Source organism: Homo sapiens, chromosome 9 (assembly GCF_000001405.40).
Source record: "Homo sapiens chromosome 9, GRCh38.p14 Primary Assembly".
Lineage (NCBI taxonomy): Eukaryota > Metazoa > Chordata > Mammalia > Primates > Hominidae > Homo > Homo sapiens.
In genome coordinates this window covers 71940307-71966723 of record NC_000009.12, presented here as the reverse complement: position 1 = coordinate 71966723, position 26417 = coordinate 71940307, and the positions used below count along the sequence as shown (strand labels likewise).

At 39.8% G+C, this 26417-nt stretch overlaps 1 protein-coding gene across 11 annotated transcripts in view, besides 3 other annotated features; it reads right to left on the bottom strand.

Moving 5' to 3' along the window:
• The window catches only part of C9orf85 (chromosome 9 open reading frame 85), a 74420-nt gene that overhangs the window by 19335 nt on the left and 28668 nt on the right, over window positions 1-26417 (bottom strand). For 6 of the 11 annotated variants that reach the window (NR_157408.2, NR_157409.2, NM_001365053.2 and 3 more), the window contains one exon: window positions 19612-19718. Coding sequence is in view for 7 of the 11 variants with exons in the window: in NM_001365053.2 (NP_001351982.1) it covers window positions 19612-19718 (107 nt within the window). In the remaining 4 variants the exon portion in view is untranslated. The other 5 variants (XR_007061245.1, NR_157410.2, XM_047422767.1 and 2 more) reach the window with 5 other exon arrangements.
• Window positions 1469-2213: an enhancer, noted in NCBI's record as "H3K27ac-H3K4me1 hESC enhancer chr9:74579427-74580171 (GRCh37/hg19 assembly coordinates)". NCBI's record gives its function as "activates a minimal SCP1, AML or CMV promoter by ChIP-STARR-seq in primed H9 embryonic stem cells {active_cell/tissue: H9 hESC(primed)}" and the evidence as "EXISTENCE:reporter gene assay evidence [ECO:0000049][PMID:30033119]".
• Window positions 2214-2958: an enhancer, noted in NCBI's record as "H3K27ac-H3K4me1 hESC enhancer chr9:74578682-74579426 (GRCh37/hg19 assembly coordinates)". NCBI's record gives its function as "activates a minimal SCP1, AML or CMV promoter by ChIP-STARR-seq in naive H9 embryonic stem cells {active_cell/tissue: H9 hESC(naive)}" and the evidence as "EXISTENCE:reporter gene assay evidence [ECO:0000049][PMID:30033119]".
• Window positions 12583-13229: an enhancer, noted in NCBI's record as "H3K27ac-H3K4me1 hESC enhancer chr9:74568411-74569057 (GRCh37/hg19 assembly coordinates)". NCBI's record gives its function as "activates a minimal SCP1, AML or CMV promoter by ChIP-STARR-seq in primed H9 embryonic stem cells {active_cell/tissue: H9 hESC(primed)}" and the evidence as "EXISTENCE:reporter gene assay evidence [ECO:0000049][PMID:30033119]".

Genomic DNA, 26417 nt, shown 5'->3' with positions numbered 1-26417 from the left:
TCCACAATATCCTGCTTTGCCACAATCTGAGCCCCCCATTCTCTCTGTAACATCAAGATGATACAAAAGCGTTAACCATCTTGCCTTTGCGTTTTTTTTATAGTCATGACTCCTGTGCACACGTATGCACACAATAAAATTTGTACATCCTTTTCCCTTGTTAATCTATGTATTATGTTTGTTTTATAGATTCAGATTACCAAAACTTCAGGGGAAAAATTCAAACCTCCCTAAAATGGTAAGGAAAAATTTTAAATTCTCCTAAATATAAATTTTTCCAAATTTCCCTTAAAAATGGCTATATTGTATTTTATGAGTCCATTGCTAAGAAAACTTCAGAAATGTCAAAATGATGATAGTTTTGCCTTCTTTTCATTTCTTTATGGAATACACATGTTAAAAGAAAAAATTCAGCTGAATTACATTTAAAGGAGTTTAATTGAGCAATGAATGATTCACGAATCAGGCAGCCCCCAGAATCACAGCAGATTCAGAGAGACTCCAGGCATGCCTCATGGTCAGAACAAATTTATAGACAAAAAAAGTAAAGTGCAGTACAGAAATAGGAAGGGAGGTATAGAAACAGCTGGATTGGTTACAGGTTAGCATTTGCCTTATTTGAACAGTTTGAACACTCAGCAGTGTATGAATGGTTGAAGTATGGCTGCTGGGATTGGCCAAGACTCAGCTATTGTTACAGGCGCATACTCCTGTTAGTTAAACTTAGGTTTTCAATCTTGTCTACCTATTAAATTAGGTTGCAGTTCATCCACAAGGACTCAAATATAGAAATAGGGAGTCATTATCAAGCTATCTTTAGTTCACTTTAACACACACAATTCCCAGAAACAATCACTCAAACAATTCTGACCATACATATACCACAACTAATCATTTTAGTGGAAACTATGGTCAAATAAAAACACAGGTCACCACTGTTTACATGTTTCTTGATAAAGGAAACAATATACTTCTTAAAAATACTACTATTGGGTGGGCACAGTGGCTCATGCCTGTAAACCCAGCACCTTGGGAGGCCCAGGCAGGAGAATTGCCTGAGCCCAGGAGTTAGAGAACAGCCTGGGCAACATAGAGAGACCCCATCTATACAAAAAACAAAAATTAGCCAGGTGTAGGGGTGCACACCACCTACCAGAGTGTAGTAGTCCCAGCTACTCAGAGGCTGAGGTGGGATGATCACTTGAGCACTGGCAATAAAATAGTAGGAAAAGAACACTAGTTTGGGAAACTGGAGACCTTGATTCTAGCCCGCCCTTGACATGTCCTTGTCATACTGACAGGACTAGCTGAATTTCCTAGGCTGACTAAGAATCCCTAAGCCTAGCTGGGAAGGTGACCGCATCCACCTTTAAACATCAGGCTTGCAACTAAACTCACACCCGACGAATCAGGTAGTAAAGAGAGCTCACTAAAATGCTAATTAGGCAAAAACAGGAGGTAAAGAAATAGCCAATCATCTATTGCCTGAGAGCGCAGTGGGAGGGACAATAATTGGGATATAAACCCAGGCATTCAAGCCGGCAATGGCTACCCTCTTTGGGTCCCCTACCTTTGTATGGGAGCTCTGTTTCTACTCTATTAAATCTTACAACTGCACTCTCTTCTGGTCTGTTTGTTACTGCTCGAGCTGAGCTTTCACTCATTGTCCACCACTGCTGTTTGCTGCCGTCGCAGACCCACCACTGACTTCCATCCCTCTGGATCCGGTAGGGTGTCCGCTGTGCTCCTGATCTTACCAGGTGCCCATTGCCGCTCCTGACTGGACTAAAGGCTTGCCATTGTTCCTGCACGGCTAAGTGCCCGGGTTCGTCCTAACTGAGCTAAACACTAGTCACTGGGTTCCACAGTTCTCTTCCGTGACCCACAGCTTCTAGTAGAGCTATAACACTCACCACATGGCCCAAGATTTCATTCCTTGGAATCCGTGAGGCCAAGCACCCCAGGTCAGAGAACACAAGGCTTGCCACTGTATCCGGAATTGGTGGGTTCTTGGTCTCACTGACTTCAAGAATGAAGCCATGGACCCTCGCGGTGAGTGTTACAGTTCTTAAAGGCGGCGTGTCTGGAGTTTGTTCCTTCTGATGTTCAGATGTGCTCGGAGTTTCTTCCTTCTGGTGGGTTCGTGGTCTCGCTGGCTCAAGAGTGAGGCTGCAGACCTTCACGGTGAGCGTTACAGCTCTTAAGGCGGCGCGTCTGGAGTTGTTTATTGCTCCCGGTGGGCTTGTGGTCTCGCTGGCTTCAGGAATGAAGCTGTAGACCTTTGCGGTGAGTGTTAAAGCTTATAAAGGCAGTGTAGACCCAAAGAGTGAGCAGCAGCAAGATTTATTGCAAAGAACCAAGCTTCCACAGTGTGGAAGGGGACCCCAGCAGGTTGCCACTGCTGGCTGGGGCAGCCTGCTTTTATTCTCTTCTCTGGCCCCACCCACATCCTGCTGATTGGTAGAGCCCAGTGGTCTGTGTTGACAGGGCGCTGACTGGTGCGTTTACAATCCCTAAGCTAGACACAAAGGTTCTCCACGTCCCCACCAGATTAGCTAGATACAGAGTGTCTATACAAAGGTTCTCCAAGGCCCCACCAGAGTAGCTAGATACAGTGTCGATTGGTGCATTCACAAACCCTGAGCTAGACACAGGGTGCTGATTGGTGTATTTACAATCCCTGAGCTAGACATAAAGGTTCTCCACGTCCCCACCAGACTCAGGAGCCCAGCTGGCTTCACCCCGTGGATCCCACTCCGGGGCTGCAGATGGAGCTGCCTGCCAGTCCCGTGCCGTGCGCCCGCACTCCTCAGCCCTTGGGTGGTTGATGGGACTGGGCTCCGTGGAGCAGGGGGTGGCGCTGGTAGGGGAGGCTCAGGTTGCACAGGAGTCCAGGGAGGGGTGGGAGGCCCAGGCATGGCGGACTGCAGGTCCCGAGCTCTGCCCCGCAGGAAGGCAGCTAAGGCCCGGGGAGAAATCAAGCGCAGCGCCAGTGGGCTGGCACTGCTGGGGGACCCAGTACACCCTCTGCAGCCGCTGGCCTGGGTGCTAAGCCCCTCATTGCCCGGGGCGGCAGGGCCGGCCAGCTAATCTGAGTGCAGGGCCCGCCAAGCCCACGCCCACCCGGAACTCCAGCTGGCCCGCAAGCGCCTCGCGCAGCCCGGGTTCCCGCTCACGCCTCTCCCTCCACACCTCCCTGCAAGCTGCGGGAGCTGGCTCCAGACTTGGCCAGCCCAGAAAGGGGCTACCACAATGCAGCGGTGGGCTGAAGGGCTCCTCAAGTGCCGCCAAAGTGGGAGCCCAGGCAGAGGAGGCACCGAGAGCGAGCGAGGGCTGTGAGGACTGCCAGCACGCCGTCACCTCTCACCACCATCTTGGAAGCAGCACACCGCCATCTTGGAAGTGGCCTGCCACCATCTTGGGAGCTCTGGGAGCAAGGATCCCCCGGTAACAATGTAATCTCTGAAAGTTACTTTAACTTCTCTGAGTCTCATTTTTTATAATGGATACTAAAAGTCCTGGCAGCTTAGCATGAACAAAAACAGTAGCATCAAATTATACTAGTAATCACTGTATCATCCCTTCCACAACCCCAGTTAAAAAACAAAAAACGCTTAAGATTTTTTTATGACACTGTTGTCATAGTAACACAACCTTTTTTTTTGGTGAGACGGAGTTTCACTCTTGTCCCCCATGCTGGAGTGCAATGGCGCAATCTCGGCTCACTGCAACCTCCACTTCCCGGGTTCAAGTGATTATCGTGCCTCAGCCTCCCGAGTAGCTGGGATTATAGCCACGCACCACTACACCTGGCTAATTTTTGTATTTGTAGTAGAGACAGGGTTTCACCATGTTTGCCGGGCTGGTCTCGAACTCCTGACCTCAAGTGATCCGCCTGCCTCGGCCTCCCAAAGTGCTAGGATTACAAGCATGAGCCACTGCGCCCAGCCAGTAACACAACTTTTTGTATTGTATAATTAAACCTATCAACATCTGGCAAATCTGTTTGAAGGAAGTAAAATTTCTCCTCTATCTTCTTAGGGTTTCCCTTTGGGACTGACATAAAATAGATTACTACTTGCTAGAAATAAAAGACTTTACGTGATTACAACTCTTCTGGCACTGCCTTCATTTCCTGGTTATTACACTTTAACCTTTAACATAATTTAGCTCCTGTCGTACTTTCATGTATGTGATGACGAGGTACTTTTGTAAACAGTGTTCCACAGTACTCCACCCTTGGTGTACAAAACAGAAACGCAACATTGCTGAAGTTTCATAAAGTCCTATTTTCCTGCAATGGCTCTAAGTCATCTGTAGTCAACATAGCAAGATCATAAAACTTTACTATGGGATAACATCATATGCTACTTAGAGAATGCTTTTAAGGAAACAATATCCCCAAATTCTAAGTATCTCGAGTATAAGAACTTATTACACAGTTCACTTCCTTGTGTCCCTAGATTACAAGTTTGAAAGTAAATGAAGAGGCTATATATACTACCTTGTCTTAATGCAGTAGACAAGTAGATTACAATAATTCTTAATTTTATTTTTTGAGACAGGGTCTCACTCTGTCGCCCAGGCTGGAGTACAGTAGTGCAATCACAGCTCATTGAAGCCTCAACTTCCCAGGCTTAAACAATCCTTGCACCTCAGCCTCCAGAATAGCTGGAACTACAGGAGCACGTCACCACGCCTAGCTAATTTTTTCTATTTTTTGTAGTGACAGGGTCTCACTATGTTGCCCAAGTTGGTCTAGCACTTTTGGGCTCAAGGCATCCTCCAGCCTCGGCCTCCCAAAATACTGGGTTTACAGCCCATAATTCATAACGGGTACAAAATATTTACCTCTGACCAAGTGTAGTTTATGAAAAATAAAAAATAAAAATTATTCAATACTTTAGGGCAGGCAATTTTAAATCAAAGCATGAACTGGAGTCCTCATGAACTGGAGAGGCATTGAAGGAAGTAATAAAAGCTCTCTACTGCTTTCACCTTTAAAGACAGTAAGACCATGGTTGTGGGCAACAAACGACAATACAGCCACAGTTTACAGTTATTTTATACTATCATGTGATACAAAGAGCTATCAATGACTAAAACTCCACTCTAGAACATTTTAATACTCTTGGAATGTGGTGACACAATTTTTTTGTTTTTGAGGCGGAGTCTTACTTTGTTGCCCAGGCTGGAGTGCAGTGGCGCGATCTCAGCTCACCACAACCTCAGCCTCCCAGGTTCAAGCGATTCTCCTGCCTTAGCCTCCCTGGTAGCTGGGACTACAGGTGCATGCCACCATGCCCGGCTAATTTTTGTATTTTTAGTAGAGACAGGGTTTCACTTATGTTGGCCAGGCTGGTCTCGAACTTCTGACCTCATGATCCACCCGCCTTGGCCTCCCAAAGTGCTGGGATAACAGGTGTGAGCCACTGCGCCTGGCCGTGGTGACCCAATTTTCAAATCACTAATTAACCTTCAGAGCCTCAGCCTGTTATAAGAAATGCTGGAGGCCAGGCGTGGTGGCTTACACCTGTAAATCCCAGCACTCTGGGAGACCGAGGTGGGCGGATCACCTGAGGTCCGGAGTTTGAGACCAGCCTGACCAACATGGAGAAATCCCGTCTCTACTGAAAATACAAAAATAGCCGGGTGTGGTGGCGCATGCCTGTAATCCCAGGTACTCGGGAGGCTGAGGCAGGAGAATCACTTGATCCCGGGAGGCAGAAGTTGTGGTGAGCCAAGATTGTGTCACTTTTCTCCAACTTGGGCAAAAAGAGCAAAACTCCGTCTCAAAAAAAAAAAAAAAACAATTTGGAACTGAAAAACGGCCAATGTGCATTGCCACACACTGGTAAACATGAAGGAACAGATAGATATGTAGAATATGGCCGGGTGTGGTGGCTTGCGCCTGTAATCCCAGCACTTTGTGGCAGATCACTTGAGGTTAGGAGTTTGAGACCAGCCTGGCCAACATGATGAAACCCCATCTCTATTAAAAATACAAAAATTAGCCAGGCATGGTGGCAGGCGCCTGAATTCCCAGCTACTCAGGAGGCTGAGGCAGAGGTTGCAGTAAGCTGAGATCGCCCCACTGCACTCCAGCCTGGGTGACAGAGAGAGACTCTGTCTCAAAAAACAAAAACAGACAAAAAAGACCTGTAAAATGTAACTGTTTACTTTTGTTTGATAAAATAACAAAAATAATAACCCAGTTTTTAAAAACTAGAAATCCAGACCCTAAGCCAACTTTCCAAGTTTAGTTTTCTTTTCATTTAATGTATATTCAAAATAGACTGAAACCTCCTTTTGATAGGCAACTTTGATTACTGTTCATGGATCACCAAAAGTTATGCAATGAGAAAAAAGAAAAAGTAACAAGAGCAAATGAATGAAGAAATGATAATTTATGTGGAACAAAAAAACAGGACATATAAAGACAGCCCGGGATTATCTGTATTGTCTATGAAAGTCAACAGGATTCTTGTTCATTTTCCCTCCATTCCCTGGTCCCTCCTCACAGGGTTTCCTATCACTGTGATTATTCATACCACTCTTCTACCTTTAAGTTTTTTCTAGACCTGTCTCTCTGGGTTTCATTTCATTTTTCTGCAGCCTTACCTTGTGTCCTCTGCATCTCTTTCTCCTTTTACTCACACCTAGCACTTTTTGCAAACTGCCCAGAATTATCTGTGGAGTCTCTCTCTCCAAATAGATGGTAAATTCCTGGGCGTCACAGATTCATTTGCTATCTTCTTTTGACATACAACACAGTGTCTTGTACATTGAGGATGCTATTTAAAATAATTGCAAATTGAACGCAGTTTCCTATCTGTCATCTTTAACAATCTTGCTTTTGCTCAGAAATTAAGAGCTCTGATTGGAATATTATTCCCCAATATAACCATGGACTGTTCCTAGAGACAATTTTGTTCTTAATACAACACGTGAATTATAGTAAATTATCTTTCACATCCAGTCCAGCTTCTTGGTTCTTGCAGGTAACAGCAGACCTGGTTACACAAGACAAGGTGTTCTAACAGGTATTATTTTGGTTCTATAAAGGAAAACTCTACTTAAGTTAGGGACCTGACATTAAAATAAAAGCCAGAAATAGATTATGAAACTTTAAAAAATCTAGATGCTAGTTTTGAGTATACTGTTTACTAGCTTACAGAGTAAGACACCTAATTTTTCTAAGGCTACCTCCTTATCTGTTCTTGCTACCTCTACAGGGTTGTTATTAGAATCCAACATATGTGACAGAGGTTTGAAAATGTTAACTTTGGCCGGACACAGTGGCTCACGCCTGTAATCCCAGCACTTTGGGAGGCTGAGGCAGGCGGATCATCTGAGGTCGGGAGTTTGAGACCAGCCTGACCAACATGGAGAAACCCTGTCTCTACTAAAAATACAAAATTAGCCGGGCATGGTGGGGCGTGCCTGTAATCCCAGCTACTCGGGAGGCTGAGGCAGGAGAATCATTTGAACCTGGGAGGCAGAGGTTGCAGTGAGCCGAGATCGTGCCATTGTACTCCAGCCTGGGCAATAAGAGTGAAACTCTGTCCCAAAAAAGAAAAAAAAAAAAGAAGAAAATGTTAAATTTAAAATAAATATCTTATTTGTCCACTCTGAATTCAAATTCTGGGGTTAAAATATATAATATATATGATGTGGCAGCCATTGGCCCTTGGCCTCTTAAAGTTTTGTTAAAAATAATTGACAAGAGGTGGATTGACTAATAGGAGAAAAGGCTATAAATTTACTTAATGTGCATACACAGGAGCCTTCAGAATGAAGATCCAAGTTCTCAACAGTTTCAGAAACTTATATAATATCTTGAGGTTATAGAAAGAATGGGGGCTTAGATTCTGGTAAAGCAGAGCAGGGAAGAGGTTTGGCCAGCAAAAGTGGCCTGGTTATGTAGAGGAGCCTCCCTCAGAGAGACTTTTAAAGGTGTCCTGCTCTCAGTCTCTCCTGGATCTGGGGAAAGAAAGAGAAAGGGGAGGGGGTATGACTGCATTAATGGAGATTCTATACGGATACCAATTTTCCCTACTTAAGACAGCTTTGCAAGGCCACTTTTGTCAGGATGGTGAAGTGGCAGCCATTTCAAAATACATCAAAGAAATATATTTTCAGGGTAAAATATTTTAATTACTGGCCGGGCGCGGTAGCTCACGTCTGTAATCCCAGCACTTTGGGAGGCTGAGGCGGGCGGATCACCTGAGGTCAAGAGTTCGAGACCAGCCTGACCAACATGTAGAAACCCTGTCTCTACTAAAAATACAAAATTAGCTGGTCGTGGTGGCGCATGCCTGCATTCCCAGCTACTCAGGAGGCTGAGGCTGGAGAATGGCTTGAACCCGGGAGGCAGAGGTTGCGGTGAGCAGAGATCATGCCATTGCACTCCAGTCTGGGCAACAAGAGCGAAACTCCGTCTCAAAAAAAAAAAAATTTATATATATAAAAATATAAAAAATATATATATAATATATATATATATTTTAATTACCTTCAATTACCTCCTTAGGCCAGCTTGAAGTACTTGGGATCTTTTCCTTTCCATTTACCCTATTTCCCCAAACAACACCAGCTTCCTGAACATTCTCTGAAGAATTCCAGCAATAATTCTCAAAATTCCCACCAATAGAGTATGATTTCTAGTTTTAAGGGACTTAACTGTTCTGGTTTCAACCTTTTACACTTAAAATTCCACTAGAAAGGATACATCATTCAGACCTTAAATAGTACAAAGACTGCACTTCCAAAATACCAGTAAAGGTTCTATAATACCAAAGCTACTTCTACATCCCAATTCTTACTAATAAGGATTTTATTGATCTAAGACATATTCTCTGCAATGCCATTCCTAATCCTTATTTGTGGAAGTGATGCTGTATCATGGCTCATGGTGGGAAAAACATACACAACTGCAGGGGTTTTCTCAGCTATTTATAGTAGATCTTTACCGTGTTTATGAGGAATGGGGAGGAAGGAGAAAGAAAAGACCTGGACTACTGTTGAAGTATTTACTATCTTTTAATTGTGCTTGGATTCTGGAAAATAGCATTTATGTTTTGACTATCTTCATCTTAATAACCTCTGCCATCACAAACTTACCTGATTTTTCAAATAAACTACACATAGGTACACACTCATCTAAAGAGAGGAACAGGCTAACAATGAAGTTTTAATCATTTAATATCTTTCTCCTGTTGTATTTTAGAACAAATTTTCCTTCCTAATTTATTATGTTCTTTGCAGCAGTAAGTAATCAGTTTTTCACTGAGTAATATGATATTTAATAATTACTTATTTCAATGAAATTGACTGAGATTTCACCTGGAGTTTGGTGCAAAATTTAACTCAATGCTTAAAAATACCAATTCTTCTGTCTTAGCCAATAAATCTTTAAAATGTAATGAATACAACTGATATGAACTTCATCTTCTATTTCCACTTAGTCTGATACCCTAAATTAATAACAAAAATAATGGGTGAAATTTGGGGCAGGATGTGAAGGGGCTTGATAATCTATCAACTGGATAAATAATCACATTGCTATGTTAGTTTAAGTGGTAAACATAAAACTATAGAAAGTCAGTCTTGGCCGGTGCTGTAGCTCATGACTGTAATCCCAGCACTTTGGGAGGCCAAGGCTGGCAGAGGTCAGGAGTTCGAGTTCAGCCTGGCCAACATGGTGAAACCTCGTGTCTACTTAAAAAAAAAAAAAGTCAGTCTTCAGGGAATAAACACACAAATTAAACACTCAATTTTAACCAAGACCTTTTACATTCTATACTGTTTCTTCTTGTCATATATTCTATCATGAAGGCACTTAACTTTGTTCATTTCTCTTTAGCTATTTCTCTTTAGAAAATATGAGCAAGTCAAAGACTCTTCTCTGGCTATGACCCTAGTATAGACTGAGAATCCCTTATCTAAAATATTTGGGGTGAGAAGTGTTCAGATTTTTTTTTCCCCCAGGTTTTGAAATATTTGCTAATACTAAGAGTTGAGCATTCCAAATCCAAAAATCTGAAATCTGAAATGCTCCTATAAACATAGCCTTTGAGCATTATGTTGGCACTCAAAAAGTTTCAGATTTTAGGACATTTTGGATTTGGAATTTGGGACGCTAAAACTGTATTATAAAATATAAAGCTTTTGTGGGCCGGGTGCAGTGGTCCACACCTGTAATTCCAGCACTCTGGGAGGCTGAGGCGGGCAGATCACCTGAGGTCAGGAGTTTGAGACCAGCCTGACCAACATGAAGAAACCCCGTCTCTACTAAAAATACAAAATTAGCTGAGCGTGGTGGTGCATGCCTGTGATCCCAGCTACTTGGGAGGCTGAGGCAGGAGAATCAGTTGAACCTGGGAGGTGGAGGTTGTGGCGAGCCAAGATCGCGCATTACACTCCAGCCTGGGCAACAAGAGCGAAATTCTGTCTCAAAAAAAAAAAAAAAAAAAAAAAAACTTTTGCATTCCCCTTCCTATTACCAATTGTGATACCCAATGCTTATTAGCATGTAAACAGTTGTTTTATTAGAAGATTCTACAATAAGGCATATAATGTTCAGATGTCCTGAAATAAACATATTCTTTAAAGAAGAAAAAACATGTAAAAATTCTTTCATAGTAATGCACTAAAAAATCCATTTATTTTTCCTTGACTACAAATGTATTTATTTGTAAACTAAATGGATTTGTATCCATTTATTTTTCCTTTTCATTGACTACAAATATATCAAAATGGAGGCAAGTCAAAGTGGTTAAAACATACGGACTATAAAAATTAGCCATTTAAATCATAGGTCTCCATTCAGATGCTACAAATTCAGATTGCATGGAGATCAAGGACTCACTTTGTACTGATCACTGCATATAGCATACATTATTCCTCAGGTACCTCCTAGTGAGTGGTATGCTCAGTTTCTAAGCACTGAGAACAAGTACAGCTTGGATGGCTACAGATGGAATCTACTGATAAATTAAATTTGGCCTAAAGCTGCCTGGGTACATATTTTAAGTTTGGCCTAAAGGTTTCTCTCTATATACTGAACTGTAACATAACTTGATGTGTAAACTGACTGTAACCTACTATTGTAACAGTAACCAAGTCTCAGCCAACCATAGTCAGCCAATTGTTCAAAGTAGGTTCAAATAAGGCAAATGCCAAGCTGTAACCAATCCAGCTGTTTATGTACTTCAGTTTTGGACAGAAAAAGGAAAATGACCTTTGGACAGTTTTGGACAGAAAAAGGTCACTTCCCTTTTTCTGTCCAAAACCGTTATTGAAGCACATGGCAGCCCTGAGAGTTGCTCTGAAACTACTCTGGTTCTGGGAGGTGCCTGATTCTTCATTCTTTGCTCAATTAAACTCTGTTAAATTTAATTTGTCTAAAGTTTTCTTTTAACATAACCTATCAAAATTGTGATTACAACTAGTTTAAGGAGACTCTGGTTTCCTTGAGTGCTTACTCAATGAACAAATATAAGTAATGAATGCCAATTGATAGACACATACAATAATACAATGCCAAGGACTGAGTGCAAGAAACTATCATGAATTTAACCATAAACTGGCCAATATATCTCTCTGTCCACTAATTTGTCTTCATTGAAAAATGAGGACAGTGATACTCTATTAAGCAACATTTTAGGGGTATAGAAATTCTTCCCTTTAAAAATAGAGGCTAAAAAAAGGAAAGGGGTTGGTTAATAAAATATTATCTTTAACGTCTTGGTTTGGCTAATTTAGTTACAAGAAAGCTTTGTAGCAAAGAGGGAGCAAGCACACGGTTAGGAAGGCAGCCTTATGGTGGCATAACTGTCAGAGGTGTGTGAACCAGAGCAACTCCATCTTGAATAGGAGCTGGGTAAAATGAAGCTGAGACCTACTGGGCTGCATTCCCAGATGGTTATTAAGACATTCTAAGTCACAGAATAAGATAGGAGATTAGCACAAAATACAGGTCATAAAGACCTGCTGATAAAACAGGTTGCAGTAAAGAAGCTGGCTAAAACCCACCAAAACCAAGATGGCCACTAGAATGTCCTCTGGTTGTCCTCACCGCTACACTCCCACCAGCACCATTACAGTTTACAAATGCCATGGCAATGTCAGGAAACTAACCTACATGGTCTAAAAAGCAAAGACATGAATAATCCACCCCTTGTTTAGCATATCATCAAGAAATAACCATAAAAATGGGCAACCAGCAGCCCTCGGCTCTGCTCTGTCTGTGGAGTAGCTGTTCTTTTATTCTTCTACTTTCTTAATAAACTTGCTTTCACGAGATCCAAGAACCCTCTCTTGGGGTCTGGATTGGGACCCCTGTCCTGTAACATAACCTATTTGGCAACATCTCAGTCCCCCATCTCATTTTCTCCCAAACAGTAACACCTTTTTCCCTACAGTCTAGAGGACCCCCTCCCCCCGACCAACCAATCCCCCCAGCCAACTCTCACATTATAGTACACATATAAAAGCAGAACTTCTCTGCTGACAAAGCTCTCTTAGCCTCCTGCTGCTAGAGTCCCACCCATCACCACTGGAGCCCTTGACTCAACTTATGTAAAATACGCTTTTTTTTTTTTTTTTCCAAGCTGGGGTCTTGCTCTGTCACCCAGGCCAGAGTGCAGTGGTGTGATCACAGCTCACTGCTGCCTTGACTGCCCAGGCTCAAGTGATCTTCCAGCCTCAGTCTCCTGCCTCAGTCTCCCGAGCAGCTAGGACCACAGGTGCGCGTCAGCATGCCTGGCTAATTTTTAAAATTATTTGTAGATATGAGGTCTTGCTATGTTGCCCAGGCTAGTCTCAAACTCCTAGAATCAAGTGATCCTCCTGCCTTAGCTTCTCAAAGTGCTGGGATTACAGGTGTGAGCGACTGTGCCTGCCTCCCTCCCCCACTTTTTTTTAAACCACTGGTTTAGTCAACTCTGAAGCCACAGAGGTATCTGAGTAGAGGTGAGATGAGATGCAACGATCAATTTAAAAGAGGAGAATTTACTTATTCAATGCAATGAAGTATGAATAGGTAAGGGGTACACTTGGGCAATCAGTGGGAACAAAAGTTGAGAGGCAATAAATCTGGTGGGGTTAAATACCTGGATGTGAGGGCCAGAAGAGTGACTCTGTTCAATTAAAATATTTAATGAAAAGGAAACAGTTTTTTAAGGAATAAAGCATCCTCATGACATGAAACTCTCAGGCCAGACATCTCTAGAGTAATGCTGGTTCCAAGGCAGGTTATATTAGCTTTTTCCTCCTTCACTTGAAATATTTTTATGATGAAATCTTCTTTCAGTGAACATTTATCACACAGCTTGTAAGGTCTGGGCTCCCTTCTCCTCATTTAGGGCAGTTCTGTTTTAGCCTGTTGTATTCATGGGACTCCTGGATAAGCGTTTTATTAAAGAATTTGACAGCTGAAAAGTTTGAAAACCACTGAACTAAGATACAGGATGTTTCAGTGCCTTGGCTTTGTGAGTATCTATCTATTCGGTACAGAGCAAGGCTTCTCAACCAAGACACTCTTGACATGTTGAGCTGGGTGTTTCTTTATTGTGGCGGGCCGTCTTGTGAACTGTGGGATGTTTAGCAGCATCCCTGGTCTCTTTACACTGTGTGTCAGTAGCACCCTTCCTGGGGACAAACTCCATCCTCAAGCCACCTCCTTAACTGAGAACCACAGATGTAAAGAATTCACAGGTCCAGTTCCAAGCTCAGACCCCAATCTGTTTGAGGACTGTGCTGTTTTATACCAGCTTCTCTTTTCTTTTCTACTACTATGGCAAGGTTAAACATTGGCTAACATTATAATGCTGGTGATTTTTTTTTTTTAATAGGTAGAGAAAAGCAGGCTCGAGATTCTCACATAAATGGGGGTATTCGTCTGCCACATTTCTAAATTAATAGGAGAAAAGGTTGCTTGGTTACCTGAAATAAAAGTCAAAAAAGGTTTCTAGGTACCAGCATAGGCATTTCAGGGCCTGAAAGCAAAATCCAATTATCTTTCCACAAGTATATGTATTAAAAAATAAAGGCAGGCTGGGCCAGGCATGGTGGCTCATGCCTGTAATCCCAGCACTTGGGGAGGCTGAGGTGGGCGGATCACGAGGTCACGAGGTGACCATCCTGGCTAACACGGTGAAACCCCGTCTCTACTAAAAATACAAAAAAAATTAGCCGGGTGTGGTGGTGGGCGTCTGTAGTCCCAGCTACTCGGGAGGCTGAGGCAGGAGAATTGTGTGAACCCAGGAGGCGGAGCTTGCAGTGAGCTGACATCGTGCCACTGCACTACAGCCTGGGCGACAGAGCGAGACTCCGTCTCAAAAAATAGAATGAATAAATAAATAAATAAATAAATAAAAGCAAGGTGGTCCTCAGCAGGATATGTGGTACTCAACAGCAGACAATGTCCATAAACAAGATAGGTGATATTTGTAAAAATTAATGAAGCATTAGGTCCAGGTGAAGAGGAGAAAAGGACTTTTTGAATTGAATAATACAATGCTGAGAAATCACTGAGAGAAAAGGAAAACAAGGCTTTGGAATCCAATCAATTTGCATTTGAATCTTACCTCCATCTGCTTTACTTTTGTCTTGGTAAGAAGTATAATCCTTCTGAGCCCAGAATAAAGAAAATAACTAATTTCATCTGGCCTTGCACTGCTTGAGGAAAGGGACAAAATCTTTTAAACATTTATATTTCTAGTACCTTGAAAAATATATAAATGTCTATAATGACTTTTAAGTATAAAAATATCAAGATTCCTTCCTTAAGATTTATACAAATTATTTAATATATTTTTACGTTTATTTTTTTCATAGGCATTACTGACTGGGATTGTTTTATATTTATAAGATCTCTTGTTTCTCCAACAATTCAGCTCCATATCGAGATTATTTACAGGTTCATGAATGACTTGGGATTGACCAGGAATGGTAATGAATGGTTTTCATTTATTTTGGGGTTCTTTTTCAAAAGTAAAAAACAAGGCACTTGAAAAATAAAACTTTATACAAAAAGATTTAGACTTTTCCTGAACCCTAATTCTTATATATATGAATAATCTTAAAGTCTGAACCCTCTTTTTCAAGTCTAACAATGCTTATGCCATCCTGTGTCAAGGGAGATACTGACAGCACCATTGCAGCCCTCCCGCAGGGAGTAGTAGGTACTGGCCTTAAGAAATGGGTAGGAGGATCTTGGTACAGATTGTGCTGACTTCTAATTAAGGGTGGTGGCTGGTCTTGGTGCTTTATCTTTATGAGCTTATCACTTTATTCCTATAAAGACCTAAAGCTTTGAGTAGTCAGAGATATTTATCTCATTACGTCAAAGGACAGTACCACTGTCACACTGTTTATGTATCGCTGATAAGTGAGATGCTTTTTATCCCCTCATCTTTCATAGCCATCATCCTATCCTCCTTCAGTACATACATAATTTTCAATTCATCTCTCTTCCAACTTAAGTTAGGACATTTATTCTTTTCTAAAAAGTCTCTGGAGATGGTCCAGGATTGTATTCAGTAACTGAGAGAAAATTCCATAAAGAACATGTTTATAAAAATACTGCAGCATGTCACCTCACTGAAAAAAGAAAAAGAGAAACATGCAATATTCTGTCAGCTACGAACGCAGTAAAATTTTTGTTTCCCATGGTTGAAACAGGTAAGTCTGAAGAGTTTATAGGTCAAACTCTTTTTCTTTGATTTAACTTTTGGCATTGGATCGCACGAACAAATGGAAATTTGCTAATTAACACGCGGTTTTTGGTGATTCACAAGGTAAACAAATGGGAGAAAAAGTTTTAATTTTCCCAATATCCAGGATATTATTACTTCTAAAAGAAATGTCACTTATAAAAAGCCCCACCATGCCCTGTATTTTATGTTGTGCAGAACTTTTCTTTATCTACATCATTTAGTTACACAATTTGTGGCAATAGATAGACACATGAAACAATATTCAACATTTTAACTGATGGAAATACTCAGCATGGCAGAAAAATAAATCTTTATACAAAAGATATATCCAAGGCTGGGTGTGGTGACTCATGCCTATAATTCCAGCACTTTGGGAAGCCGAGGCAGGTGGATCATGAGGTCAAGAGTTCAAGATCAGCCTGGCCAACATGGTGAAACTCTGTCTCTACTAAAAATACAAAAATTAGCCGGGCACAGTGGCATGTGTGTGCCTGTAGTCCCAGCTACTCCAGAGGCTGAGGCAGAAGAATCGCTTGAACCCAGGAGGCAGAGGCTGCAGTGAGCTGAGACCGTACCATTGCATTCTAGCCTGGGCAACAGGGTGAGACTCTGCCTCAAAAAAAAACAAAGACAAAAGGTATATCCAGTAAAATTCATATACAAACCCTAACAAATGACAAATCTAATTCATAAGTGATTAGCTTGAACAAAACATTAAACATTTTAAGTAATGCTACCATCAGCATAAGCAATGGATTCAAATCCCTTACAATGTTGGTCAAGTCTTAATATGCAGAGAAAGTGAAGTGAATGAATATAAGTGAGTTTTACTTTCTATAACACTCTCAATCCTGGATTGGAGTTTGAAAGCTAGGCTTTCCAGTATGTCTAATGTGCCATGTGTTCAGGACCTTCTGAAATACATGATGTTCTAGGCCAGGCAAGTAACCTCCTAAGTAATATGTTTAGACTGATGGGATTCAGAACATGCTACCCCAAAATATGGCGCTTTGGCATACTGAGTATTTTGAGCTGAAGAAATGTGACAAACAGCAAATGTAGGAAGGACTCTCTGATCCACCCCTGAAGTAGGCCATAAGACCCTTATATGAGAGGTGCCCTTCCTATACCTAGAGGAAAGGACCATGCTTATCTCTAAAAACAGAGGAACAGTAAGAGGAATCTGAATGAACAAGCCCTGCTGTTTAGTTTACTACCCTTAGCTCATTTAGTTTACTATGCTTAGCCCTTTGTTTTTATCCCCTATCACATTTTCCCCATGATTTTCCACTCCCATCAAACCTAGCATAAAACCACACAGGTTTACCCATTTCTTTGGGTCTTTGTTTCCTTATGAAGGCTTTGGTGTCACAAAAAGCTTACATTAAATAAATCTGTATATTTTTCTCTTCTTAATCTGGTTTTTGTTAGAGAGCCAAGGGTGAGAACTTAGACTGGTAGAAGGAAAGGACTTTTTTCCTCCTCTACAAGATCTTGTTTTAACTAGCAGTTTCTTTTTTTTTGGAGATGGAGTCTTGCTCTGTCGCGAGAAAACAAAATACATAAGTTCAGAAGTTCTACAGCAAAATATAGCATCTGGAAAATTTACAATAACTGATGTGATCTTTTTTACACACTGACACATTTAAAATGAAGATAAACATATAGGATTTAGCACATATTAAAGGTAAGAGATTTAAATACTGATGATGGATAAGGCAGGAATGTTTTTAAATCATTTCCTTTGTTACACAGCACTAATCTATTAAAATGCTGTGACTACATAAATGTTGTTTATTGCCTACACTTCAAATTCTTTTAGGAAACAACACTATAAAGAGAAAATGGAGATGGATCATGAAATCTTAAAATACCTTTATAGGAATAAAAACTTGTTGAAAATATTCAGAAAGCTACAAATCTTGTATGAGGCCTATTAACTAAAACTACATGATTTATTTTGCAATCAACATCTAATTACTCTAGCAGAGAACACAATTCATTCATGGAAATCTAAAATTGGGTAATGCAAATAGTTGCCAAATTTCCTTACTGCTAATTTGGGCCACTAAGCATAAAACTCATCAGACTTGTTTAAGAGTGTTTTCTTTTGGGAGGAAATGCTAGAGGAAGAAAAGACTAAAAGGAGCAAGAAGCTGGTAAAACTATTTAAAGGGGGGGGGGGGGGCGTGGCTCACGCCTGTAATCCCAGCACTTTGGGAGGCTGAGGTGGGTGGATCACTTCAGGTCAGGAGTTTGAGACCGGCCTGGCCAGCACAGTGAAATCTTGTTTCTACCAAAAAAATACAAAAATTAGCCAGGCATGGTGGTATGTACCTGTAGTCCCAGCTACTCAGGAGGCTGAGGTAGGAGAATTGCTTGAACCTGGGAGGCGGAGGTTGCAGTGATCTAAGATTATGTCACTGCACTGCAGCCTAGGTGACACAGTGAGACCCTATCTCAAAATAAATTAAATAAATAAATAAATAAAATAAAACAAAAGGGGGGTCAACTATACCTGTAATAAATACTAGACTGCTCCAAAACGGAGTACAGAAAAAAAAATCTAAAAAGCTTAAGTTAGTTTATCCTTCCTTAACACTTTTGCCTTTCAGTGTTCAAATATTTTGAAGTAAACAAATTATTTTATATCTTAAGTTTCAGATTTGCAAAAGGCTGTCATAATTTTTTAGTAGATATAAACAAAGGTCATATTGTATCTATTATTTAGACTGATTTTCTAAACTGTAAGCAAAATTTTTTCCCATAAAGGAAGAAGGAATGCATTCAAAGATGATGAAACTATTGAATAGTCAGAAAAATAAGGCAACAGAGAGCAAATATAGTCTAAATAGCTACTATATAGATTACCAAATTAAATCTTATAATGTAAAAGGAACAATGCTAATTTTTATTTAAGATAATCACTTTTCTCTTTCATGCAGCAATTACTCTCCAATATTGTCCTTACACAGCTGAGCTGAAGGATGTCAGGGAGCTGTAGAGGATGCACAGAAGGCTGATATAAGAGAACCCCAGAATTACACAAGAGTTAAGTCTGGGCGCGGTGGTTCATGCCTGTAATCCCAGCACTTTGGGAGGCCTAGGCGGGCAGATCACCTGAGGTCAGGAGTTTGAGGCCAGCCTGGCCAACATGGCAAAACCCCGTCTCTACTAAAAATACAAAAAAATTAGCCAGGCATGGTGGTGGGCGCCTGTAATGCCAGTTACTTGGGAGGCCGAGGCAGGAGAATCGCTTAAACCTGGGAGGCAGAGGTTGCAGTGAGCTGAAATTGCATCAGTGCACTCCAGGCTGGGTGACAAGAGCAAAACTCCATCTCAAAAAAGAAAGAAAGAAAAAAAAAAAAGGATTTAGGGATGGCAGGATCAGAAACAAAATCTAGTATCTTTTCATTTAGACCTCTATTCCCAAAGAAATAATAAGTTATCAATCTAGTGATTCACTTCTAATATTTAACCTCAGCCATTTCTGTAATCTTCATGAGTTGAATTAAAAGGTCTAAAGGTCTGATCCGTTTTAAGAATTGATAATTTATGGTGCATAGTATTACCTTATCAGTGGAAGACAGAATTGTAGAAAACAAATACTCTCTTCTCAGCCCTAACCCACCTTTCATGAATAAAGTTCTATAAAAATGATGCATATTTATGAAAGAATGGGGCAGGAAATGATGAATTTAACTTTTTAAATCTGTCGGCCTTCACAAACCAAGATTCAGCACACAAGATGAAATTCTACAGGGGAGAATGGAATTTTTTCATCATTTACTTTAACATTTATTTGGACACAATTTTGAAAATCAGGAAATGAAATAATAAACTATGATACATATACCACCAAGTAAGGTAATGAAGAATCTTAACTCACCACTTTTTAGGTTTTGATAATGGTTTGTATTTGCTGTATTTTACACGCCACTCAAGAACTTCTTTACAGCGCTGACATACTCCATCATGAAGTTTTGCATTAATTTTCTTAAAAACAAACAGAAAGACAAATTGAGAATTTCACGCGTGAGCCAGCATTGCAAATCCCATAAAAGAGTGTATGAGATGTAAGTTTTAAAATATAACTGAACCTTAATCTGCATAACAATTTATGATATATTATGTATTTTTATGTATATTACTCAATTTGTTATTTTTTCTTACAAAGGCAATCGTTCTTTTTTTTTTGTTTTTTTTTTGAGACAGAGTCTCACTCTGTCGCCCAGGCTGGAATGCAGTGGCACAATTTTGGCTCACTGCAACCTCCACCTCCTGGGGCTCAAGCAATACTCCTGCCTCAGCCTCCTGAGTAGCTGGGATTACAGGCGCGTGCCACCATGCCCAGCTAATTTTTTGTATTTTAGTAGAGACAGGGTTTCACCATGTTGCCCAGGGTGGTTTTGAACTCCTGAGCTCATGATTCACCCGCCTCGGCCTCACAAAGTGCTGGGATTACAGGCATGAGCCACTGGGGCCTGGCCCTCATCTAGAAAATTTTTAACCTTCCCATTGATTCTGATGTATATATGTGTCAAAACTCAAAACTGCACAGTTAAGATATGTGTATTTCATAGTATGTAAGTTATATCTCAATAAAAACATAATAATAGAAAAGAAAACCTTGCTCATATTTGAAGACTATCATTTCAACAATTCAAATCCTCCCCGTGAGTTGGAATTAAACTGAGAAATTGGGCTGTCCTGAATTGTCAGTTTGTTGAAGAGAACAGAGACTGAAATTTGAGGAAGGGGTGCCAGGGAGAAGCAGCTGGAAGCAAAAAGGCATTTCATTTTTCAGTTTTATGCTTTTGAATTCTCATGTTAAAAAAGTTTTAGAAAAGTTCCCCCTACTAACTTGGTTTCTTCAAACTTAAATAATATGTATTTGTATGTAAATATCTGTAGTGGAGAAAGGGCTTTATAAGGAAAAGTTTTTTATTGTAATTTTCTTTTCAAAATGTGTTGGGAAAGAAGGAAGATAGGAAAAATTTAAATGTGTCATGTATTTTCTCTAATAGTTTTATATTTTTGTAACATACTCATTTGATTCAGGACACAGACTATATATTTTCACTGAGTACTCTGAGAATTCTCTAGTTTGCTTTGGCTGTGAAAGCTTGGTCTTTGCCTATTGTTGGAATAATGAGCAGAAGACATTTAAAATTTTCTTTGCTTCTTTTGTTTTCTTTTAAAATTTCTCAAGGGGAGAAAGAAATGCACCACAAGTATGCAGATTCTTTGGGAGGCTATTAGATATTAAGTTAAAAGCACAATGTTTACATCAGATCATCTGAAAGAAACAATTTTTGAACAGCGCTTGATATTCTTGAAAGTTCTAAACAAAAAGATAAAATATTTGATAAAACATTTATTCAATGAGAAAATATTTTAGAAATATTGTGAAAAACCATAAATTAAGCTGTGAATATATTTCATTTTATTTAATTTTTCTCTTTCTTCAAGGAATCTTCACCATCAGGAAGTGTGAATATATTATGTTTAACTTTGTGATGAGAAATACATTCTGTTACTTACAAATTGTGTATGGGTGCATTCCTTCCTTCTGGACATAGATGGAGAGTCCCAGTTCTGCATGCTACTATATCCCCTGCTTACTCTAGGCCCCTAACTGTTGCCAGAAAGAAGGAAATCTGTGCCTACACACCAAACTCTTCGTCCTCTCAACCTTTGTACTTATTAATAGTTATCATGGACAAAGCTAGCTAAGAAATGCAGAAGCAAAGTTCACATTCATCATTTGTCTTCTCTGTCGTCTAGAACATCTTACTAAGCATTACTTATATTTCCTTAACTGAATGACTTTGAACTATGACTTCAATATGAATGTGATATTAACTTCCTAATTGGAACATTCTTAGAACACAGACATTTCACTACCTGCAATTTTATTGTATATAACACATTCTGCTTGTTAACTAGGAAGCATTCTTTGGTTCCTTGTTTGTTTCTGTATCCAATTTCTGACCAGTTCATCTTGATTTACAAAGCTGTGCAGAGTTTGGAAACTGGTTTCTTTAGGGTGGATCAACAGTAGAACAAAACAGGTCTTTGTGGGAACTTGTCCTGTGAGTGATGTGTGAAGCAGTATAAATAGATATGTTGTACAGGGTTCATATGACTAACAGGCACTACTATCAAATTAAACTTGATTTTTATGTGTTAAGAAATTAATGAGAGTAAGAATGAGAAAGAATAGTACTTTTCACTTAAAAATAGGTGCAGAAGAAAGAAAAGTATATACCTGTTTTACCATTCTTTGGCAAAACAGAAGTGAATTCCAGAGATGTGAGCAAAGAAAGTTAATCCTAGTTCTAGGAATCCTTCTGCCTGGGGGGAAGGAAATGACAATCTAACCTTATTCACATTTATATTTACAATTAACCCTATTTTGGCAATTACTTTTAGTGTATCCCTCATGGTAGAAGATCATAGGTAATTAAGGTTAAAACTTAAGTCTGTCCAAATATAAAATCAAAAGTTTTATAAATACAAAAGCCTATAAAGGTCATTTAGTTCGTTCAACAAGCTACTTTCCAGATTTGTGAAGAAAAAAAAAATCTTCAGTGGAAGAGTCCACTGAACTTAGGAATCAGTGAAAGAAGAAACCCTTACTTATCAAATGAATACTTTTCAAAGTTAGAATAAACTTAAGGAACATCAAAAAACATGCCTACTTAATATATACATAACGTCTTAAAAATGTCTTAGCCATCATTCCTACAACTTTTTTTTTTTTTTGAGACAGAGTCTCACTCTGTTGCCCAGACTGGTGTGCAGTGGGGCAATCTTAGCTCACTGCAACCTCTGCCTCCTGGGTTCATGCAATCCTCCTGTCTCGGCCTCCTGAGCAGCTGGGATTACAGGCGTGCACCAGCATGCCAGCTAATTTTTGTATTTTTAGTAGAGATGGGGTTTCGCCATTTGGCCAGGCTGGTCTCGAACTCCTGGCCTCAAGTGATCCACTTGCCTTGGCCTCCCAAAGTGCTGGGATTATAGGCGTGAGCCACCGCACCCGGCCTATACAACATATATTTTAGAGTCAGTGTTGTTATTGCTGCTTTAAGCATTCTATTTGTTGTCAAACAATATATCTTTAACACAGTAATGCCATACAGAAGTTGGGTGAGAAAGGGCCGGGTGCGGTGGCTCACACCTGTAATCCCAGCACTTTGGGAGGCCGAGGCAGGCAGATCACCTGAGATTGGGAGTTCAAGAACAGCCTGACCAACATGGAGAAACCCCGTCTCTACTAAAAGTACAAAATTAGCCGGGGTGCTGGCGCATGCCTGTAATCCTAGCTACGCTGGAGGCTGAGGCAGGAGAATCCTTTGAACCTGGCATTTGGAGGTTGCAGTGAGCTGAGATCGTGCCATTGCACTCCAGCCTGGGCAACAAGAGCGAAACTCCTTCTCAAAAAAAAAACAAAAAACAAAAAAAAGAAGCTGGGCGAGAAAGGACTTCAACTCCCAAGAAGGTAGCAAGAGCAAATTGTAAATATTATATCTGTATCAACATGCTGATGCTGAAAAATATTTTATAAAGTATCATTTAACAGAAGGAAGATACTACGGTAGTTGAAAAGAAATTTGAATACCATTCAAAAGCAACTAAAATAATTTTTCCTTAGGTTTTTTTTGTACATAATTCTTTCAGAATTGCCAAAGGTAAAACAAAGGCCTGTTTACTCCTCTTAACTGAAAACAAAAAACAAACAAAAACAGAATTAAAAAAATGAAATTCTCAAAGAAAAATGCCAATGCCAATTCCAATGCTAAAAATCTATTTCCATAAACTGGCTTTGTTCTTTTCCCTGCAGTACTCTTCTCCTAAAATAAGGTATTTTATGCCACTACTGCTGTAACAATGTTACTCCAGAAATAGAAACTTTTATATCTTATTTAATCATATTTAAAAGTAGGTACTTTGAAATTTGCTGGAAAGAGTCCCTTATTCTAAATTTGGCTAGAGGATAAAAGATCCCTGGATTTGGGGGCAAGAACTCACGTGACTAATAACAATAATGTGAAAATCTGACTTTTAGGCTGCTGCTTCCTTTTTTTTTTTTTTTTGAGTCGGAGTCTCACTCTGTTGCCCAGGCTGGAGTGCAGTGGCATGATCTTGGCTCACTGCAACCTCTGTCTCCCAGGTTCAAGTGATTCTCCTACCTCAGGCTCCTGAGTAGCTAGGATTACAGGCACACGCCACCATGCCTAACTAATTTTTGTATTTTTAGTAGAGACAGGGTTTTGCCATGTTGGCTAGGCTGGTCTCGAACTCCTGACCTCAAGTGATCCGCCCACCTTGGCCTCCCAAGGTGCTTGGATTACAGGTGTGAGCCACAGCACCTGGCTTTAGCCTGTGAGTTTCAAATCATAAACTACATTATTTAAATTCCTTTAAATATGGCTAGAACATTGTTGGACATAAAGTATCTTACAAAACACAACCAAAAAATAGAGGAGGGAATCAGAATGAGAGAAAAGTAAGGGCAGGAGGGAAATTACAAAGCAGTCAGGAGTGCAGCTGGAAAGTGCACTTGTTAGAGATGGGCCACAAATGAAATCTGAGCTTTCTAGCACCCAGTAAAACATAACTCATTGTCTGTAACATGCCAAAAATCCAGTTTCTCAGAAGCAGCACAAGTATTCTTGTTACTGAAGTGCAAAGTTTCATCTTTCCTATACCATGTGATACAGTAAGCGATGCTCGCAAAAATGTCCTTACAACACAAAGCATTTCACAGAACTGTTTTCTATCCTGGTTCTCAATGTAGGCCAGTGTTACAATGCCAAAACAGAGTGCAATACAGTTATTCTTAGGTGTACAATGTAGGTACAGATCCCTGATAGTCATAGGATCTGCAGGAATGCACTACATATAATAAGGCCATCTTCAATAAACACTATTTCTCTCAACTTAGCTCTAAAAGCATTCCCTTCTATTATGAGAAATGTCAAACTTGCAGAAAACAGTGGAAACAATAATACTAATGCATACATATATACACTCCCAGAGACAACTATTAACATCTTCTTACCTTTTTGCTTTTTGTGTGTATGGGTACAGGTAAAATAACTTATGGATATCAAGACACTTCACTTCTTAATACTCATCATATCCTAGCAATAAAGACCTTCTCGTGCTTAACCACAATACTGTTACCACACCTAAGAAAAATGAAAGATAACTCCTTAATGTCACTGAATGTAGTCAGTTTATATTGAAATTTCAACTTCTCCAAGACAGCTTTCAGAGCTGTTTTTTCCTCTCCAAATCAGGATCAATCCGTATTCAAGTACTGTATATCTGTTATCTCTCTTTTCACCTATGTATGTTTTTTCCCCTATTACATGAATATTTTTTGAAAGTAACAAGCAAGTCATTTTAGAGAATATCCTACATTCTGGATTTGTCCATTTTCTCATGCTGTAATTTAACTCATTGCTTTATTTCCTGTAAAGTGGAAGTTAGGTTTACAGGCTTAACTATATCCAGTTTAAATATTTTTTGGATCAGAATAATTCATAGGTGATGCTGCTACTGTTGTGTACTTCCTATTACTCCAAGTCAGGAGGCACATACTGTCCAGTTCTTGCCTTGTCAGCAATGCTGAATTTGATAACTTGCTTAAGGTGGTGACCCAGATCTCTTCAAATTACAACGGCTACAATAATCTATGGAGGCCATGTTAATGTACTGTACCACAGTAACACTTTCCCTCATGGTTTTGGCATCCACTCATGATCTTTGCCTGAATCATTCATTTTACTAAGTGATGAAGAATGCTAACTTGAATTCTTTTCTTTCTATATTAATTTTTTAAAAAAGATCGTCAGCTTAAATCAGTTTTGAGAAGTACATACATATCAAAAAATTCACCCATTTTAAGTATACAGTTCTAATGAATCTGACAACCAAACTTCCAATACTACCATCACTCCAAAAAGTTCTCTAATTCCCCTTGGTTGTCAGTCCTTTCTACTACCTCCCAGGTAATAATGATTTCAAATCTGCTCCTACAGTTTTGCCTTTTCCAGCATGTTGTGTAAATGAAATGGTTAAGTATATAGCCATTTGAGGAGCTCATTCCTTTTTATTGGTGAATAGTATTCCATTGTATAAATTACCATAATGTTTATTCAATTCACCAATTAAAGGACAGTTGGAGTTGTTTCTAGTTTGGAGTGCTAATAAATATTTGCATACGAGTTTTTGTGTGGACATATTATTTATCTTAGGTTAATTACTAGGAATGATATTTTTGGGTTGTATAATGGAATGCTTAATTTTATAAGAAACTATTAGTTTTTCAATGTTGCTGTACCATTTTGCATTCATACCAGCCATATATGAAGATCCAGTTTTTCTACATTATTTCCTGCACTTGAAATTTTATTTCTTACTTTAGCCATTCAAATAGGTATGTAGTATTATTTCATTACGATTTCAATTTACATTTCTCTAATAACTAATAATGTTGAACATCTTTTGATGTGTTTACTTGCCATCGTGGGTTTTTTGTTTGTTTGTTTCTTTAAGAGACAAAATCTCACTCTGTTGCCCAGGCTTGAGCGCAGTGGCATGATCATAGCTCACTGCAACCTTAAATTCCCGGGCTCAAGTGATCCTCCTGCCTAAGCCTCCCATGTAGTTGGGATTGCATGC